Source organism: Homo sapiens, chromosome 3, assembly GCF_000001405.40.
Source record: "Homo sapiens chromosome 3, GRCh38.p14 Primary Assembly".
Classification (NCBI taxonomy): Eukaryota; Metazoa; Chordata; class Mammalia; order Primates; family Hominidae; genus Homo; species Homo sapiens.
The window spans coordinates 189,319,121-189,339,154 of record NC_000003.12 but is presented as its reverse complement, the minus strand read 5'-3'; the positions used below and the strand labels follow the sequence as shown (position 1 = coordinate 189,339,154).

At 38.4% G+C, this 20,034-nt stretch overlaps 1 protein-coding gene across 21 annotated transcripts in view, besides 1 other annotated feature; it reads right to left on the bottom strand.

Annotated features, from left to right (window-relative positions):
• The window catches only part of TPRG1 (tumor protein p63 regulated 1), a 328,078-nt gene continuing 321,894 nt past the window's right edge, over window positions 13,851-20,034 (bottom strand). For all 21 annotated transcript variants that reach the window (XM_047448032.1, XM_047448034.1, XM_047448028.1 and 18 more), the window contains one exon: window positions 13,851-18,529. In XM_047448032.1, coding sequence (XP_047303988.1) covers window positions 18,335-18,529 — 195 coding nt within the window. In that variant the 3' untranslated portion in view covers window positions 13,851-18,334. The remainder of the gene's footprint in view (window positions 18,530-20,034) is intronic.
• Window positions 13,890-15,089: an enhancer, noted in NCBI's record as "MED14-independent group 3 enhancer chr3:189041855-189043054 (GRCh37/hg19 assembly coordinates)". NCBI's record gives its function as "activates an origin of replication core promoter dependent on BRD2, BRD4, P300/CBP and CDK7 cofactors, and independent of MED14, by STARR-seq in HCT116 cells {active_cell/tissue: HCT116}" and the evidence as "EXISTENCE:reporter gene assay evidence [ECO:0000049][PMID:35650434]".

The following is a 20,034-nucleotide window of genomic DNA, read 5'->3' as shown; positions in this document are numbered from 1 at the left end:
CTGTATTAGATACCTATTTCTACAAAACTTAAGTACATTCACAAAGCTATTTGATGTTAAGAATAATAATTTTTAAATAACTTAGTAGAAATAAAAATGGGAGAAAATCAGTTTCTATTTTTTTGGCTATGAGCCAGCTCACCGTATAACCTTTTGTCCTCTTTTTGCCCAAACTATAGGATAATGGTGATAAAACTACATGATTTTTAGTAACCTATCCAGCTCAATAATTCAGTAATTCTAATAATCAGAATAATCAGAATAACATGCCAATAATTCAGTAATTCTAATAATCAGAGCAATTCTTCCCTCCATAGGAACATTCTGTTCCCCACTGGTATAGCCATGGCATTCAGAAAATTTTGGATAAATAATAATATCAATAACAAATTAGTAAAGAACAAATTAAGCCACCTGAGGAAGAAAAGAGTATTCTATTTGAATGAAGGAAGCCAGAAATTCTGGAAGGATGTGATGTGTGACATGCAGGCTGGGGGTTTAATGAGTTTGAGGCGTGAAAAACCCAAGCTTCAGGGCTGCATTCCCTGGCAGCCTTGAGCACGGCATGTTTCCATGCCCTCTGCGGCTGAGTTCTATTTTAGAATGTACTCCATGCCTCAATCCTCTAACACAGCTGTGACTGTCTGTTAACTTTTAGGCACAGCCCTCCATTCAAGCAAATGGCTCTTGTTTTTATATTGACAAGCCTGCAGAAAAGGCAACATGAGGAGAACATACCCAGAAACAGACAGAGAATTGATTGGCGGCAGAGAAGTGGCAGTTATTGAGATTGAGGTATAGCAAACTTAGCCCAATTGGCCAGGGAAGAGAAAAGATTACTCCATAAGATCAGAAGCAAATGGCATTGGGAGGTCTTACTGGACAGCCCCATCCACTAAGAAATGGTTCATTCAGTATCCAAGAGCTCTTCAAGACTCCTTTGCTATCAAGGTTCCTTTCTAGCTGGGACATAACTCTTGAGACTTTAATCCATGGAAAAAAATGAGAGCATAGATGAGTGGTTTCACCATGCTCCCACCCTTCTTTCTTCTGGAATCCTATCCATGGCCCAGAGTTCAGAGCTGTCAAGTCCTGCCCTTGAATGCTTTGGTTAAGTGGATGCCCAGCCCAACTGAGGAAGCTGTGTCAGGGTTGGGTTAAGCTCTCCAGCTGCTAGATAGGACAGAAGTGGTCACCATGGAAATAAGCCCCCCATCAATCATTTAGTGACTCACAAGATCACTGGGAAGCAAAGGGGACTAAAGTCCCTGGAAAGACTACACCTTTTTCTTTAAAAAAAAAGCTGTCTGACTGCATTCTTGAAAGACAAGGCAGCTGCTTCCAAAATGGAGTGGAAATGGCTAGGGTTGCCTCTGTCTCCTGAATTTAGGCCTAGAAGATCTGTCCTGAGCCTATGAAGGTGGGGAGGCCCCCATCTGTGCATATTTTGCTATTGCAGCCAGTTCTGTCTGCTATGACAATGTCATAGATAGAAGAGATTTTTTTTCCGAGGGGTGGGGTGTGGGTGTTATCTATTCAAAACTCCCATTTTTTAAAGGAGTAAGTGAGGGTTAGGTTGTGAATAACTTGCCCAAGGTCCACCAGGGTAGTCAGTGGAGGAGCCAAAACTAGATTCAAGGTCCTACACTACAAATTTGTTGCTACTTCCACAATCCTGGAGTCTGAGTGGATTTTATTCTAAAGCTAATGCAAATTAATTAATGATTCATACAATAAAGGATTAATATCCAGAATATATATCCAGAATATACATGGAACTCAAACATCTCAACAGCAAAAAATAAAAAATAAAATAAACGATCAATTAGAAAATGGGCAAGTGATCTGAACAGGTGTTTTTTGAAAGAAGACATACAAATGGCCAACAAATATATTCCAAAATGCTCAACATCACTGATGATCAGAAAAATGCAAGTCAAAAGGACAAAGAGATATCATCTTCATCCCAGTTAGGGTGGCTATTATCAGAAAGAATATATCAAATGCTAGTGAAGATATAAAGGAAAGGGAACACACTGTTGCTGAGAATGTAAACTAGTATAGCCGTTATGGAAACCAGTATGGAGATTTCTGGAAAAAAAACAAAAAACAACAACAACAAAAAACACATAAAATTAGAAGGACCATATGATCCAGCAATACCAATACTGGGCATTTATCCAAAGGAAAGAAAGTCAGTGTAAAGAAAAGACATCTGCATCCCCTATGTTTATTGCAGCATTATTCACAATATCCAAGATATGGAACCAACCCAGGTATCCAAAAACAGACAAATAGATAAAGAAGATGTGGTATATATACACAATAGAATACTATTTGACCATATAGAATGAAATCCTGTCGTCCATGGCAATATGGATGAAACTGGAGGACACTATGTTAAGTGAAATAAGCCAGGAACAGAAAGTTAAACACTGTATGTGCTCACTCATATGTGGGAGCTAAAAAAAAGTTGATCTCATAAAAGTAAAACGTACAACAGAGGATACCACAGACTGAGAAGGGCAGGGGTAAGGAAGGGCTGGGGAGAGATTTGTTAAAGGAAATAGAATTACAGTTAGATAGGAAGAATAAGTTCTAGTGTTCTATAGCACTGAAGGATGACTATAATTAACAATAATGTATTACATAGCTTCAAATATCTAGAAGGAGGATATGAATGTTCCCAACATAAACGATAAATATTTGAGATGATAGATATGCTAATTACCCTGATCTGATCACTTACATTACATACATGACCATAGCACGATGAACCCTGCAGATATGTGTAATTGTTTTGTGTCAATTATAAAAATTGAAAAAGTTTTCAGATTATCGCTATTTGATGGTCCCTTCTAAGACCCTGGGAAAAGCCTTAGCAATGTGTTTCCATGGCCATTTTTCTTTCTGCATTTTTTTTTCAATTTTTAAAAAGTAAATATTTTAACTGCAATCGGTTAAGAATCCTGTTTCTTTCCATTCTGTTTTCCCTTCCATGACTTTTCCTTTCCTGTTGGGCATTAAAATGGCCATCAGCATTTGTGAGATCGGATTTAGAAGCAGCTAAGGTAGGTTTATGTTCAGCTGGGGTTTAGTAGGTTGTACTTCTGTGGTTTACAGTCACTTTCATAAGGAGTTAAGTTATTGCTTACACTATGTAGGACTGGCCTCCAAGAATACTACAACCAGCTAATACCATGATTCAAAGGAAGGGCAGGGCCAAAGTTTTGTTCCTATGGAAAAATGAATGTGCCCTGAGGTAGACAGCACAGGAAGCATGAGGGTAACAAAATAAAATGAGATTAAAAATATACAAACCAGGAGACAGTCTGTGAAAATTTTTCCAAATCTAAAATCTCATATGTGAAAGAAACTTCATAAATGTTTTCCTAAATTTGAAAAGCATGTTTAAAATGTATAAAATCATTATCAGTTATGAAGCTGAATAAAACTTTTCTAAACTATCAATAATTTTATAAAAATACATTTCAATCAACTGAAATAACATGAAATTATCTTTCTATTCCCTTTACAGAAAATGAAAATTTTAAAACTGTATTTTTATATGAAGAGGTGACCCAGCAATATGTAGTCAATAATGAGTATGAATAAAGAATTACAAGAGATGTGTTCATTAATAAAGGTATCAGGTTTTTCAGATGTTTGATTTTTTAAAATATCTGTCAGGTTTGTAATATTTGTAATAGGTTGAGATTCATTTTTCTTTCAAAATATGCATTTTTGTGTCTGATTTTGATTTTGTATTTATAATATTGTATTCTTTTTGCTTTAAAAAAAAAAAAAGAAAAAAAAAGAGTCTACTCTTGGCCAGGCCCATGGCTCATGCCTGTAAATCCCAACCCTTTGGGACACTGATGCAGGAGGATTGCTTGAGCCAAGGAGCTCAAGACCAGCCTGGGCAACATCGCGAGACCTTGCCTCAACAAAAAATAAATAAACATTAGCTGGGCATGGTGGTGTGCACCTGTAGTCCTAGCTGCTCAGGAGGCTGAGGTGGAAGGATCACTTGAACCCAGGAGTTCTGGGCTGTAGTGAGCTATGATTGTGCCACTACACTCCAGACAGGGCAACAGAGCAAGAGTTGAGAGTCTTTTCTTTCAAGGAATTTTAGAATTGCATCTCAAAAAAAAAAAAAAACAAAACACACACACACACACACACACACAAAGCCCCCTTCAAATTCATAAAAGCTTCAGTTGCCATGAAACTGTAATCTGTGCTTTGCCTGGAATACCTCTTTAGTGGTTTTATATTCATCACAGGATTACTGAGAATGACAGGAAGCTTCCTGGGTGGGTTTGGTGAACAGGAACCATCCTTGTTGTATAGTCACTCCAGCACTGTCTTCACTGGAATTTAGCAATTTACAAGAGTGTTTGGAGTCTTTTGCTTTGTACCCAGAAACAGTTCCCTAATGCCAATCCCTTTGGGTCAACTGCATTACGGGTAATAAGAACAAAGCCGTATAATACTTTACTATTACTCATCAGTGTTATGTTTGTATACTGCCTATCTCCCAAGCAACCAAACCACTCAGTCTCATTTAACTTTACCAAAGTCAATTTGTCTTTTGAAAATCTGAGGCACAGATTATTCTACCCCATTTTAGAGATGGAGAGGACTAAATACACAGTGCTAAATTGTTGAAATTCAAACTTTTCAATTACACCTCTATTTACTTACAGAGGTTGCTGCAGGAATTAAATAAGATAATGTATATGAAATATCCCAGCTTAGATGCCAACACCTAAGTGCTTGGTAAATGTTAGTTTAATGTTAGATGATTCTTTACCCATAGGTAAGCATTTGTCGACTTGGGCTCATGAAGCACCCAGATGCCTGGAGACATTTCTAGAGTTCCTTGAAAGAAAATGTGGTCACAGCACACAAGCTTCAAATGTCTTTGCTCTAGCCTGCACTGTGGATTGTAAATCTAAATTAAAAATACCAACCCATAATTTTTTTGCAAACTTCATTTGTTAGGAAATGTTAGTGAGAACAGATTTGTGAGGTGATGTGTCACCAGAACTGATCTCAACTTTCCAACTCCCAAGTAATATGGCCTTAGTCAAGTCATTCTATTTCTCTATGTTTTGATTGGAAGCAGAGAGAAACAGAATGATTTGACTAAGTCATTGGAAAACCAAAGATTTTAATAATGTGTAGCCTTGAAAGAGAATCTCAAAAAAGCATGGTAGATCTTTGAAACTGAAGACATATAGGCCATGAGTTATGTTTTTGCACCAGTAAAATAAGATGGGGAACTAAAGCTACCTGGTAGATAATTGATACTTCATCTGCCTCCTTCCACCAGCCCACCACCAACTCCCTCAGAACCACTAGATATAGACAAGCATGAATCATTTAATATGGTCACAGAACAGAATGTAAAAGCTTACACCCTGAACCATGCAGAAGTAAATGCATATTTGAAAGAAGGCAAAAAAAAATTTTGCTGGAAAAAAATCTTCGGTTATCTCACTAATATTTTTATTTTCATAGAGGAAAGGTGAGATAGAAACTAAAGGTGATAGAGAAAGAAACAGAAGTAAAGCAGATTATTTAAGTAACAAGTGTACTCAATGGTGAAAATAATAAGCGTTTAAGGAAAAAGGGGAAGAGGATGTGGAATATAGTGTACATAAACTAAGTCTGTCACCAAGCATAAGGGACTCACTGCCCTATTTGCTAGAAGCCAATTCTATGACACAGGGTTTTGGAGGAAAAGAAAAGCTTTTTTTTTTGAGATGGAGTCTAGTGCTGTTGCCCAAGCTGGAGTGCTGTGGCATGATCTCGGCTCACTGAAACCTCTGCCTCCCGGGTTCAAGTGGTTCTCCTGCCTCAACCTCCCGAGTAGCTGGCATTACAGGCACCCGCCATCATGCACAGCTAATTTTTGTATTTTTAGTAGAGACGGGGTTTCACTGTGTTGTCTAGGCTGGTCTTGAACTCCTGACCCCGTGATCTGCCTGCCTTGGCCTCCCAAAGTGCTTGGATTACAAGCATGAGCCACTGCGTCCGGCCAAGAAAAGCTTTTTATTGCTAGTCAATGAACAGGGAGAGTGGAGTCCAGCTCAAATCTGTCTCCCTGAGCTGGCTTTAAGGCAGTAATTTTGTTAGAAAAGTTTTAGGGGTGGATTCTGAGATGAGTAGGTGATTGGTGGAAAGAAAGGAGAGGTCTGGAAGTTCCTAGGGCATGTGCAGTTATCTTTTCACACCACTTCATTGATTGCATGTGCAAATTGTTGGGGAATTGGTATGAAACATTGGGTGGAAATTCAAGCTGTAACATCAGCAGGCTTCTGCACAAACTCCAGCCAGCCATATTGGTTCCAGCTGATTTCAGCCAGTTTAGTTATCTTACAAGGGGAGAGAGTTTCAGCACTGAAGAAGTTGTTTTGGCCAGCACAGTGGCTCAGGTCTGTAATCCCAGCACTTCGGGAGGCCGAGGTGGGTGGATCACTTGAGGTCAGGGGTTCGAGACCAGCCTGGCCGACATGGCAAAACCTCGTCTCGACTAAAAATACAAAAATTTGCCTGGCGTGGTGGCGGGTGCCTGTAATCCCAGCTACTTGGGAGGCTGAGGCAAGGAGAATCGCTTCAACTCAGGAGGCGGAGGTTGCAGTGATCCGAGATCGTGCCATTGCACTCCAGCCTGGGCGACAGAGGGAGACTCTGTCTCAAAAAAAATGAAGTTGTTTCATTTCTTGTCTGCCATGCTGCAAACTCAAGAATTTCGGTTAGTCATTGGTATCTTTAACTCTTTGGGGCATGGTTTCAAGTTTTGGTCTTTCAAAAATGGAAATTAACAGATAATATCTGATGTTGATTAATTAATACATAGAAATATGAACTTTCTTTTAGAGTTTTGGATTTATAGCAGCAGAACCAGAAAGAAAGATTCTTAAAATGAATTATCACTAAGTTGGAAGTAGGAAGTGGTGGGTTGGGAAGCTGCTGGTTTTGAACATAAGCTCTTCTATATCATTTTAATTCATTTACCATTTGATAAAACATAAAAGAAAATAAACCACTCATAAGGCATGTGTTATTTCCTATCTTTGGTAGCGTCAAAATAACATCAGATATGCAATATTGCTATTATTAAGGATTTTATTCTCAGTCATCTCTTTTCTTCATTCTACACCTGTGCTTTCCAATAGGATAGCCTCTAGACACACGTAGCTATACAAATTTAATTAATTAATTTCAGTTCCTAATATTCACCTCTCATTTCATGGCTAGTGGCTACTGTGCTGGATAGTATAGAATGAATTATGATTCTATAATGAATTATAGAATTTTCCATTATTGCAGAAAGTTTTTGGATAGTTATACTTCACACTGAGCAAGCTCATCCACTCTTACAGTTTTAACTACCACTCATTCTTGGATGAATCCCTGACCTTTCTATCCAAGCAAGGACCCTATCTCCTGAGCAACATGCTTTCACATGCTCCTGCTAATTGTTTTCACTTGATCTCCCCTACCCTTTCAAACTCAGCTTATCCAAATCTGAACACGTTATATTTCCCATGAAAGTCATTTTGTTTTCTTTTTTACACTCCCCACTTCTATTGTTGATGCATCATCTTAAAAGTCCCTAGAATCAGATGCCTGGTCTCTACTGCTTGCAGCTCACTCTTCTTAAAGCTGTTAGCAGGCCAGGAGAGCCTCGGCTTATTACTGCTTCCTGATCTTCCTACTATTCTGGCCAGAGTATCTATCGGGTCATCATATTCTGCTTACCTTAGGTGTGGCCTATGATTCCGCTAACCGAACTCCGTTCTGAAACTGACAAGCTTATGCCAGGCACTCTGTACATCACTCAACTCGTTGTCTACATGTTTTTTCCCCCATAGTAAAATGTCATTCCACACTTTCTTTTGCTATGCACATTCTGACTGTTGCTAGGTGCTGTTGATGTAACCACAATAAAGTATTTGAGGAATAACAAGGCGTTTGGTGAAAACAAAATACTATTTCTTTCTAAAGTCAGGGAGAAGTCCTAACCTGGGCTGCTGCTCTGTAAAACCAGACCACAAAAAGGCAGTGGTTTCACAGAAGTTTAAGCATATGCTACCTAAATGGGTTGAAACCAAAACATCTATGGCATCCACATCATAAGACCCATTTATTGATTGCCTAATATAAATACAGGGCTGTGCTAGAGAACAAACTGAGATATCTTCAAGGGGCTCACAGTCAATCAGGGGAGAAAGAGTTTAATAATTATCTTTAATATAAGTCAGCTTGTGAATCTAGTGGAATGACAAGCTCAATCTGTTCCAACCTTGTTCTAGCATGTCTTCTGTACTACAGAGGTCAGAAGCTAAATATTAAAACTTTCAGATTCCTTTGTAGCTAGGTTCTAGATAGGAGTAAGTCTAATTTAACCCAGATCTTCTCCCAAGGAGTACATAACCTTTGCCAAGTTTCTTAGCCTCTTCCTACTTCACTTTCCTCATCTCAAAATTGAAGTGGTGATATTAATATTATATTCTTGAGAAAGTTATTTGAAGATTCATTGATGTAATTAATGTAAAGATTTTAGCACGCTGTCTGGGACACATTAAACACTCAATAATTTTTTGCAATTATTATTAAAAGGTAGAAATGAAATGCCCTCCCCAGGTTCTGCTTTAGGATAAATAAGGAGGAAGGGGTCAGAATGTGTCACATCCATTTTCCTGGGGCAAATCTAGCAGACACAATGTGGTTCAGAAGCCAGCAGTTCATTAGATTGTAGCTAAGGTGATGAGATCCTGCTCTTAGAATAGCAGGTTCTGGCTGGGACCTTCTTCCTGATCTTCCTACTATTGTGGCCACAGTATCTATCAGGTCATCATATTCTGCTTACTTTAGGTGTGGCCTATGATTCTGCTAACTGAGCTCTGTTCTGAAACTGATGAGTTTATGCCAGGCACTCTGTACATCACTCAGCTCGTTGTCTACATGTTTGTTCCCCCATAGTAAAATGTCATTCCACACTTTCTTTAGCAGCTGAAAGCGTGCGGTGGCTCACGCCTATAATCCCAGCACCTTGGGAGGCCATGGCAGGAGGATCACCTGAGATCAGGAGTTCAAGACCAGCCTGGTGAAACCCCATCTCTACAAAAAATACAAAACTTAGCCGGGCATGGTGGCATGCACCTATAACCCCAGCTACTAGGGAGGCTGAGACAGGAAAATCGCTTGCACCCGGGAGGTGGAGGTTGCAGTGAGCCAAGATCACACCACTGCACTGCAGCCTGGACAACAGAGCAAGACTCCATCTCAAATAAATAAATAAATAAATAAATAAATAAATAAATAAATAAATAAGAATAGCAGGTTCCTGGTTGCGTAGCTTTCTGCATATGGCAGAGAAAACCAATACCTTGGTAAGTCAAATTTGCTGTGTTGTTCTGGAGTCACTTCTGGAATCCCAGCCCTAGAGCTTGTGTCTCCAGCTTTTCTAATGATATTGTAAGTACTTTATTCCATATTTTAAAAGATTTTGTGTTTAAAATAGTGAAATTGTTTATGTTACCTGAAACTGAATCCAATCTGAAATAGGCAAAATGGAAGAAGAAGCGTCATGTCTCTGCCACTAGCAAGTTATGGTGGCTTTCTTGGGTATGTATGACAGTAACTGAGTCATATTATTATTTCAGAACTCTGTTTCTTCACTTACAAAATGGAAGGCAGTCCTGAAGCAGAACATGGAAATGGTAGCTAATTTATTTGGCCCACTAAAAGAAATTTCTCTCACTGCTGTCTTCCAGGATCACCATGGAGTACAATACTGTAGTTGTTCATTTCCAGGTGATACAGCACAGGTATCTATAAATCTGGTTCCAATTTTTTTCCTCAGTCCACTGGTCACAAGGAGCTTCCCAGAAAGCCATAGATGTGGGTTAGGAGGGAGAAGAATCAGCTTAACAATAACTCACAACACTCACATATATGTTTACTGCAGCACTATTTACAATAGCAAAGACATGGAACCAACCCAAATGCCCATCAGTGATAGACTGGATAAAGAAAATGTGGTACAGATACACCATGGAATACTTTGCAGCCATAAAAAGGAATGAGATCATGTCCTTTGCAGGAACATGGATGAAGCTGGAAGCCATCATCCTCAGCAAACTAACACAGGAACAGAAAACCAAACACCACATGTTCTCACTCATAGTAGGAGTTGAACATTGAGAACACATGGACACAGAGAGGGGAACAACACACACCATGGCCTGTTAGGGGGTGAGGGGTGAAGGGAGGGAACTTACAGGACGGGTCAATAGGTGCAGCAAACCATCATGGCACACGTATACCTATTTAACAAACCTGCACATTCTGCACATGTATCCCATTTGTTTTTTAGAAGAAATAAAGGAAAAAAAAAGAAATAAAAAAAAAGAGTGAGAAGAAAATGTAGTAGGAACAGGCATTATGGTCTTCTGGGACAGTCGCTCATGCAACTTATTTGGGCCTTCAGGACCTGCTTAAGCCTTATCTTGTATATATCATCTCTAATATAATATAATGCCATTGTGCATGCCCAACTTTATGGTTTGATGGGTCAGACAACATCTAGTACATTCTTAGGCTGCATGGCAACTTGATAGCCTATGGCCAAGTGGCCAAGTGTTAAGTTTCTTTCTTTCCTTTTCTTTTTTTCTTTTCTTTTTTTTTTTTTTTTTGATACAGAGTCTTGCTCTGTTGTCCAGATTGGAGTACAGTGGTGCAATCTAGGTTCACCACAACCTCTGCCTCCCAGATTCAAGCAATTATCTTGTCTCAGCCTACCTAATAGCTGGGATTGCAGATGCCCACCACCATGCCCAGCTAATTTCTGTATTTTTAGTAGAGACAGGGTTTGGCCATGTTGGCCAGGCTGGTCTCAAACTCCTGACCTCAGGTGATCCACCTGCCTTGGCCTCCCAAAGAGTCTTAAGTTTCTAATGGAGCCCAGTGACAAGCCAACACCTGTTTCTCAAAAAAATATGTATATATCTGGGAGGATGGCATATCTGTGCTTAAAATTCTGAGGTCTACCCAGTGATTCACCTAGAGGGACTGAACAAAGGATCCATGCCTCGTCTATATCTGCCACAGATACTTTGAGCCCCTTTGGATCTGCTGGGTTATACAGCCCAAGTGGTAAGGCAGATTGCATGGTAGCCTGGACCTGTTTCAGATTCTTTTCCTATTCTGTGCCCCACTCAAAATTGGCAGCCTTTTGGATTATTTTGTCAATATATTCAAGTAGCAGACCCAAATGAGATATATGTTACTTTCACATCTAAAGAACCCCATTAAGTATTGAGGGGTTAACTAAGAAAGTTAGTCATGTAGGGGAGCAATTTACCATTTACCTTAGGATGTGTATATTGACATGCCCCAGACCACTGATCCTTTACAAAAGTTACTGATGTGACTTTTTGGTGACAAAGAAAAGAATTTTGAGGCAATACATTTCCTTGCACATGTTTTATACAAGTGTTAGAACAGTTACTACTTCCTGCTTTCCTGGTTTAATCAACATGATGTCATCAATGAAATGGACCAGCATGATGTCTTATAGAACAGAGAGGTGTTCAAGATCCTTGTTGACTAGAATATGACATAAGGTTAGAAGGTTGATATAGTAACCCTGAGTATATTGCTGGCTCTACAAGCTGAAAGCAAACTGCTTTTCATAATCTTAATAACAGATTAGAAAAGAAAAAGAAAAAGAAATTCAAGATCAATAACTGCATACCAGGTGCCAAGGAATGTATTGTTTGACTCAAGCAACAAAACCACATCTAGATCAATAGCTGTAGTTGGAGTCAGCATCTGATTAAATGTATGATAATTTATCCTCATTTTGCATTGTTTCTAAACTTATAAACAGATTTGACTCCTAAAAAGTAAGTGAACAAGTGTGATTCATGAGAGAGTAAAATAAATTCCAAAATAATTGTAAGGCTTTGCCAACTTATATCTATAGAGGAAGAACATGTATGGGCACTGATTCCAAGGTTATCAGATCAGAAGCATAATGTTGGAACATGAAGAATTTATTGATTAGAGTGGACCAGGCCAGGATTCTTGATCCAATGTATTTGGGACACTAAGAGTGGCTCTAATAGTTTGCTTTGTTAACTCAATTATCAACCTAAAGAAAGTATACATTAATGAACTTGAAATGCCAGAGGAAGGCTTCTAAAGGTTTGGGGAGCTCAGGATGCAAAAGTGGTTTTATTGTGTACAACCTTTTCACTTAGCCTCTATGTCCCCTAGGAAGTTCCAAAGACGCTTTCAACCCCAAGACCAGAAACACATTTCTGAAGGAAATCCTACTATTCTTGAATAGTTCCATGGTGGCCATTCTCTGCGGGCAAGCATGACAGTGGAAACTGCTGCCATTAAATTGAGATCCCTAAGTTCAATCAGGATGGGGGTTTCCTGGAGTGGCAGGTGCTGACTCAAGTCGGACTTCAAATCACTTCTGTTTCCACAGGTTAAATAAGACTTAAGTAGGCTGTCCATCTATTTTTGTTCTAGGGACGCCATGATCAACTAACTAATTCCAAAGAACTCCGTGGATCAAACCATCTGTTTACTGCTTTGGCTCTGCTGTCCATCACGATAATTATGCCCACCTTGTCCTCTAGACTGAAGACAGAAAAAAACTCATTTAAAAACACTGGTGGTTGCCAGATGCTAGAGAAGAGTAAATTTAACAGTGACTTAGGCAAAATTATATGGTAAAGTGTTAAACAAATAATTTAGAAAATAAATTTAAAAGTTAGAAAAGAAAACAGTAATTACTCAGAACTAACACAATTTCAGTAAAAGTAATCTATGCTAAAGTGGTCTCATTTGTGCTTTCAATGAATTTACCCAATCAGGAAAGGAGTTATATATTATATTATAGTATGAAGTTATTCATACATTTCATGTGAACAAACAGTGTGATAGAAGAAACCTGGATTTTATTAATAACAGTATAGTGGCAAATAAAGAACAACTCCATTCTAATTTGCACTGATTAATCTATATATGAACTGCCAAGACAAGTGTTGAATATAATATTTTAAAAGAAGTGTTTACCAAACAGAATAGTCTACAAAGAAGAGACAAGCTCGATAAGGACTCTGGATAATGCATCATATTTAAAAATGATTGTGCTCACTGGAGTTTTGTCTCTAAATACAAAAATAAAACTACTGTCACTACCTTTTAGGAGAGCACCTGCCTTTATAGAAAGTGTGAATATGTGAACTAGGAAATTAATTTATTTGGGATACCTTCAAAGGAATATCTAGCATCAAATCTATACATTTCCAAGGAGAGAGGTTTGGGTGCAATGTCCAGAAAAACCTTCTACTTGTTGCTGTTGCTCAGTAGTGGAATTAACTGCTTTAGAAAGCAAGGAGTTCTGGGCTCTTGGAATGTTCACACAGAAGCTGATTTTCCATCTGCTGTGCATGCTCTGGTTGAGGGCATTCCTGCAACCTCAACCAAAGGAGGCTAAACTACATGACCTTTAAGATCCTTTCTAATCTCAGATTCCGTGAAGAGTGCTCAGACAATATTAAAAAAGGAAAAGGAATTTCTGAGATGCATGGGGTAAGCATTATGGGCAGGACACGACAGACAAGTTGGTGGTTCAGAACACTTGATCTCAACGCATCCACAATATATCATGATCTGTCATATCTACCTTAAAAACGTAGGAGTTAATTAAACTGGGCTTGCAAATTCCATTTGGCTTCACTGAAAAGGGGACTGAGATATTTACTAAGAGCTTTTTAAAATCGAATATAAAATAGCACACGAGATACAAGGTCTAGGTTGAGAAGCAGTCTCATGACTTTATTCCTTATATTTCACATTGGCAGCAGGCCTGCAATGAAATATGGCTCATTTTTTTTGGTCTTGGGCTTTGAGGCTAAAGAGAGGGTTTAGCAGAGGATATCATAATTCCTTTTTGTGGATACAGAAGAACCCTAAGCAGTTGCCAAAATCAGGTAGAATAAGACAAGTATTGGTCCACTCTCAGTAACTCCAAGGCCTCAGAGTTTTTCCTTAGCTTCTGGGGAACTGGTATCTACAAGGAAATCAAGAGGCCTAGTCCCCTAACTGCTTTCGGAGCACGTTGTGGGAGGTGCAGACCAAAGGTGAGTTTACACATCAGTGACTAAAGTTTCCTGCCACTAAGCATAAGAAGTCACTCATGAGCAGCGTCCCTAAACCACAGCTACAGGATGTGGGCACAAGCCCTTGTATAATTGTTGGCCAAGAGCCAATGAGCATTCATCCCTGTGCAAATACCTTGGCTTTTTTATGTTGTTGTTAACCTTTGAAAACCACAGGCATTAGTCTCTCTCTTTCTTCCCCTTGGCACAAGTCATCTTCTTTTCTCCAACTTGGTCTCTTGTGTGTAAAGAATTTCTGAGGAGCTTTTAAGCCTAAATTTAATACCTTTGCCCTCCCCCTCTCCTGCCCCACAAAATGCCAGCAGAGGTGAAGCTGCCTTACAAAATATCTGCTGGCTCTGCCAGCTTCCGCAGCTTTGTTTGGGCTTTTTTTATCAGATAGGAAATCGGAGAGCTCTATAAGTGTCCTTAGCCTTTAAGAAAATGATGGCAATTTCTGGAAATTCTTCCCAAACGACTGTGCCCTATTGTTTTCTCATTTCAAAATTATCTCAACAACTACGATACATCAATTCAGATGGCATGTCTTTCCCATGGAATACAGATATTATATTGGAAAGAGCAGTGGGCTAGGGATAGAAATTGGAAAATGTAGTCTAATCTCAGTATTTCCAAAAGTTCACCATCTTCTTTTTGAGAAATGTCTTTCTAGTTTCTAGGCCTTTGCTTCATTTTCTGTGAAATAAAAGCACTGAATTGACATGGTTTTTCTGCCTTCTTATCCCCAGAACTCTACAAACTGGCTTCCTAAGAAGGTTTAAACAAAGGCTGAATAAAAAATGGACCTCAAGGCAAATGATTCAGAAGTGCCAACTTATAAGTGAGCTTCTCTTTTCTGCCTTAGATGACCTTAAGATGACCAAAGGTCAGGCCTCCAAACAGGCCCAATTGACCACCGAGGAGTGAGTCCTGGTGATTGTTTAAAAGTCCTCCTGTTGTGTTAAAACATCTATCTGCTTTGAACTTTCTCACCCTCAGAACTGCCTACGATGTATCAGAAGATAGTGAGGCATTTGTCAGTGGAGCTGTTCAAGCAGTTTCTGAAATAAAGCTTATCAGAGATTTTTCAAGTGGAAATTCCTGAATGAGATAAAGACCGAATAATGAAGACCTCCAACCATGACATTTTGGTTATGAAATGCTTTGTACTCTACTTAATGTATCTTGCGTCTACTCCTATTATCAATCAAACTCATCATGCCATTTGCTAAACTGTAGTGGTAAGTTCAAATGATAGTCTGATAAAAACTCCAAGTGTACACATAGGTCCCCTGGGTTGTGGCTCCCTGTTGAGCTTAAGGACAAAGATCCCAAGTAAGAACACCAAGTGTAAAATGAGAAAACCATAATCAGTAGGTCGATGGTAATGAAGAAACAATTTCTGGAGGAAATGTAGTTCCCTTGGATGTTTTCCCACCTTCTGCTGCAAAAGTCACATCACTCTCTAGGCAAATACTCAAAACTTTCTGTTTAATAAAAGAATTTAACCTCATTTCATTGAATCCTCACAAGATCTTTATGAAATAAGCAAAAGTAATATAATTGTCTCCATTTCGCAGAAGAGGAAATTAAACCTTAGGAAAGGTAAGGAAATTTTTCAGGGTCTCCCATGATTGATCCAACTCTTTCCTAAGAAAAAAATGGGTCTAATTAACTAAGTACTAGCAACAATTATTTGGAAAATGATAGGGTCACCGGCCTTAAAAGATTATGTCAATCATTTCTCCAAACGGTATCATACAGCAATTCCTCTCACAATATCGACTTTATCTAGTCTTTCCTTGAACATACCAAGTGATGGTGGGCTCACTGTTTAAAGAAGCAACCCATTCCATCATTGAAAATTTATAACTATAAGAAGTTCTTTCTTATCTTGAACTGCTATCCAAATTCCTAAATCTTCTCACCCTCTGGTCATAATACCGCTTTCTAGATCCCATTTATCAATTAAGGGGATAGCCTATATATGACAGTTTTTACAAAATGTGAAGGGAATTCATAAAGACCCTCTTGTCGTCTCTGAGTTCACTCTTTATGCAAAACAGCTTTGATTCCATTAAATGCTTATCCCATTGTTACAGACTGGCTCTCAGAACTAAGAAACATCTCCCTCCTGTCATCCTTTCTGAACTGTTTCCATTGATGATGGTGCACTGTGTCCTTTAGAAGGTCATTTGGGAACAGTCTGGCTTAGGTTACAAAGGGGGCAAATGTGCAGAGAGAAGTCGATTGTCAGGCTGATCCTTAAATGGTAACTCAAAAGAATGTGCTGGACATTTCAGAGGCTTCTGCCAATAAATGCCACTATCTTGAGGCAAATGGGGATTTTCGGGCAGCAGTATTATAATAATTTGCCAATTATGCCTGCTTCAGAACCAGTGCCAAAACAATCCAACGACTTTTCATTCCACTACTGTTGACAGGACAGCTATGGATTTCAACATTTCCTTTTACAGTCTGAATAGAAGTTCCCTGCCTTGGGGACTATAACAATATTTGCCATCATGGGGGGAAGAAAAAGTGGGTGCTGTAAAGGCGGAAGAGAGGGAAAGAAAAAAAAATTAATGGAAGTAAACAAAGACAAAATAAAATAAGAGTTATTCAAGGTTTAGGGTTTGAATGTCTGCATTAAATTGATGTTTATAAATATATCAGAGGACAAATCTTTGAAATTGAGGAAGCAAGCTTTTCAAAGAAAAGACTTTAAACTTCACATAAAAGTCAAAAAAAAGTTGGCTGGAATTTCAACTTAAACATCAACAAAGATGTGTCAATTTTGAGTCTTGGGAAAGGCAAAAAGCTTATTGTAGTAATGTCTATGTAGTCAACATTCAAAGCTTTTTTTTCTACATAAATTTAGATAAAATAAGACTCTGAAAGAAAAAAGAAAAGAAACTTGAGAGATGCAAACATATGAGATAATTTCCTGGGTTGTTGAAAATTAGATCTAAGTCGGGAAGAGACAAAGAGGAAATAAGAGGGAAAAGAGCAATGACAATAGAGTGTTAAGACAGTGTTTTTGAAAACATGGTCTTCAAAACCCTCTGCGATCCATGGACATTCCATATGCAGCACCTCTGAGGCCTAGAAAGAAAGATGCCTGTGGCATTCTCATCTTCACTCCAACCGCATTGAACCTACTTTTATCTGCTTCGTATATGCTGCTTCTACAAAAGATTTCTTTAGAAGAAAAAGGTCTGTTATTAAAAAATATATATTTGAACAAAAGATGGTATAAGTAAATGAGCTAGAAACCAAGTGTAGGATAGATTGAAACAGTCAGCCTTGGAGTAGGGATTCCATTTAACAGGCTGTGGTAATAATTGGTTGAGCAGAATTAAAAACCTGATCTAATAATACAGCTATAAGAATGGAAAGGAGGAATACATGAACAATTTTGATAAGAGAATGAGCTTCAAGTTTGACATCTGGGCATCGGAATACAATGCTAAGCCGTATAGAGATGTGATCATATATAGGATGTCATGGCAAGGAATTTAGAGAAATCAAAATTGACAGACTTCAGGGATGGATAACTGGGACCATATAAATACCACAGGATTTTGATAATGCTCAATTAAGAGGCCACTGGGACACTGATATATAGATGATTAGCAGTCAGAAATGCAAAACTGAGTCTTGGAATAAATATTGGGAATGGGAATATAAATTTGGAAGTCATCCTTATCAAGTGGTAGCTAAAATACTAGAGACAGTGAGACCCCAATGAGAGAATAAATCAGGATAAGAGGGCTGAAGACCAAGACCTAAAAAAAAAAAAAAAAAAAAGCCTACATTTAGAGAGCTGAAGCAACAGGACTTAGAGTCTTCTTTCCTGAGTTGATGATCAGGCACTCATTTGATAACAGTATTTGATAGGCTCAGCAGCATTTATTTTCTAGTTTTAAGAAAATTTGATTATTCTTGTATGAGGTCTAAAGTGTGTATCTATCAGTCCAATCAAGCTTTTAAATTTTCGGAAATACTAAATTTCTAAATCATAAAGCGTCATTTAAAAATAATTAATTGTTTCAGTCCAAAAATAGCGTGGGTCAAACTGGAATTTTCAAAGTGACATATCTGTGGATGATATGCTTATGGTACCAAAAAGACTCTCAAAAACCAATACTCCCACGGGCAAGGGAATAGCCAAGTTTGTTGCGGTTTCCAATGAATGACATCAGCCCTGTGTAGGTCTCAATCAAAATGGGTTCAGTTAACACCATCAGTTTCTTTCCTCTTCCAGATCCAGTTGAATTCTTGTGGGCATTCTGGATAGCTGGAACAAGCTTAGACATGAACCCAGACAACTGAAGAAGAAAAAAAGAAGGCACAAAGTTAGTTACTGTAGATTAAGTTGAGAGATACTCATCTCCCCAGCCAGTCTTCACAGAAGTTGACTACTCTCCTGGGGCTGCAGTTATTCTTACTTCTTAAACATAAATGGTTAAATTTATCTCTATTAAGTTAATTCAGTTAATAACTGTGCTTAAGTCCATTAAGACTAACTTTCCTCAGGCCCAATTTTGCTTCTTAATGTCAGAAATAATATGTAATTTTTTCAGTTTGTTTATCATCCACATAAGTCTACCAAGTACCATTTTAGTTTTAGCTGCTTTAATATTTTGTTAGTATACAAATAATTTGCATCGGTATTAGTACTGTAAACTGACTCTCTTTGTCACTAATAGATGAAAGGGCATCTGAAATTACTTAAGAAATATTGATGAAGCGCCTACAACAAGTTCCAGGGACATTTTAAGTTGAACAGACAGGCAAAAAAACCCCGCTGTCATGGAGCTCACATTCTCGTGATTGCAGACAAAAAATATTCATAAAAATTTTGAAGGTGATAAATTCTAGAAGGAAAATAGAATGTGGTAAAGGGATAAAAAGTAATGAAAGTTAGAGTTACTTCACATACTGTATTCAGGGCAAGTCTTTCTGAGGAGGTAAAACTTCAACTGAGACCCATACAATGAAAAAGAGCTAGTTACGTGAAGAAGAAATTCCAAGCAGAAAACACAGCACCTGCAAAAGCTGTAAGGGAGGCATGAATTTAGCTTCTTCAAGGGACACAGAAAACGCCTTTTAGACAGAAGTCTAGTGATCAAAGGAAAGAGGTTGAAGCACTAGGCATGAAGAGTCTTCAGGGCCATATTAAGGGCTTTGGATTGATGTGATTTTAGGAAGGAGTTCAATGTTGTATGCTGTTATTTTACAAATAATAATAATCCTAGCTACTGTGTGGAGTCAAAAATAGAATGCTCTTAGGGCTAAGAATGGAAGCAGGAAGACAAGATGAGTTTGGAGTTCACTTCAGGAGTCCAGGCAAGATACGACGGTGGCTTGGACAGTGTAGCAGTAGAGACCATCGGAACTGGTTAAATTAGGGATTTGGGGGGCAGGGGGTTCAAGCCAAAGAATGTGTTGGTGTGATTGAATTTAGGGATGAAGAAATGAGAAGGAAAAAAATGACACCCAGGTTTTTGGCCTGAGCAACTGGGTAGATAGCGATATTATTATTGAGTTGAGAAAGCCTAGGAGAGGTACAGATTGGAAATGGTAAGATACAGGGATGGAGGATTTTGTTGCAGACACGTGGTTTGAGTTACCTCACCAGAAATCCTCTTAGAGATTTTCAATAGGCAACTGGATATAGAATCTGGGACCATGAAGAAATATACAGATAAAAAGTCCATGTCTATAAATTTTTCATAATAATAATCACAGACCCAGAAGTCAAGAATGATATTCATAAAGTGAAGTTAATAGCCTAAACATGATAGGATATGGGACAGAGAGTAGGAATTAA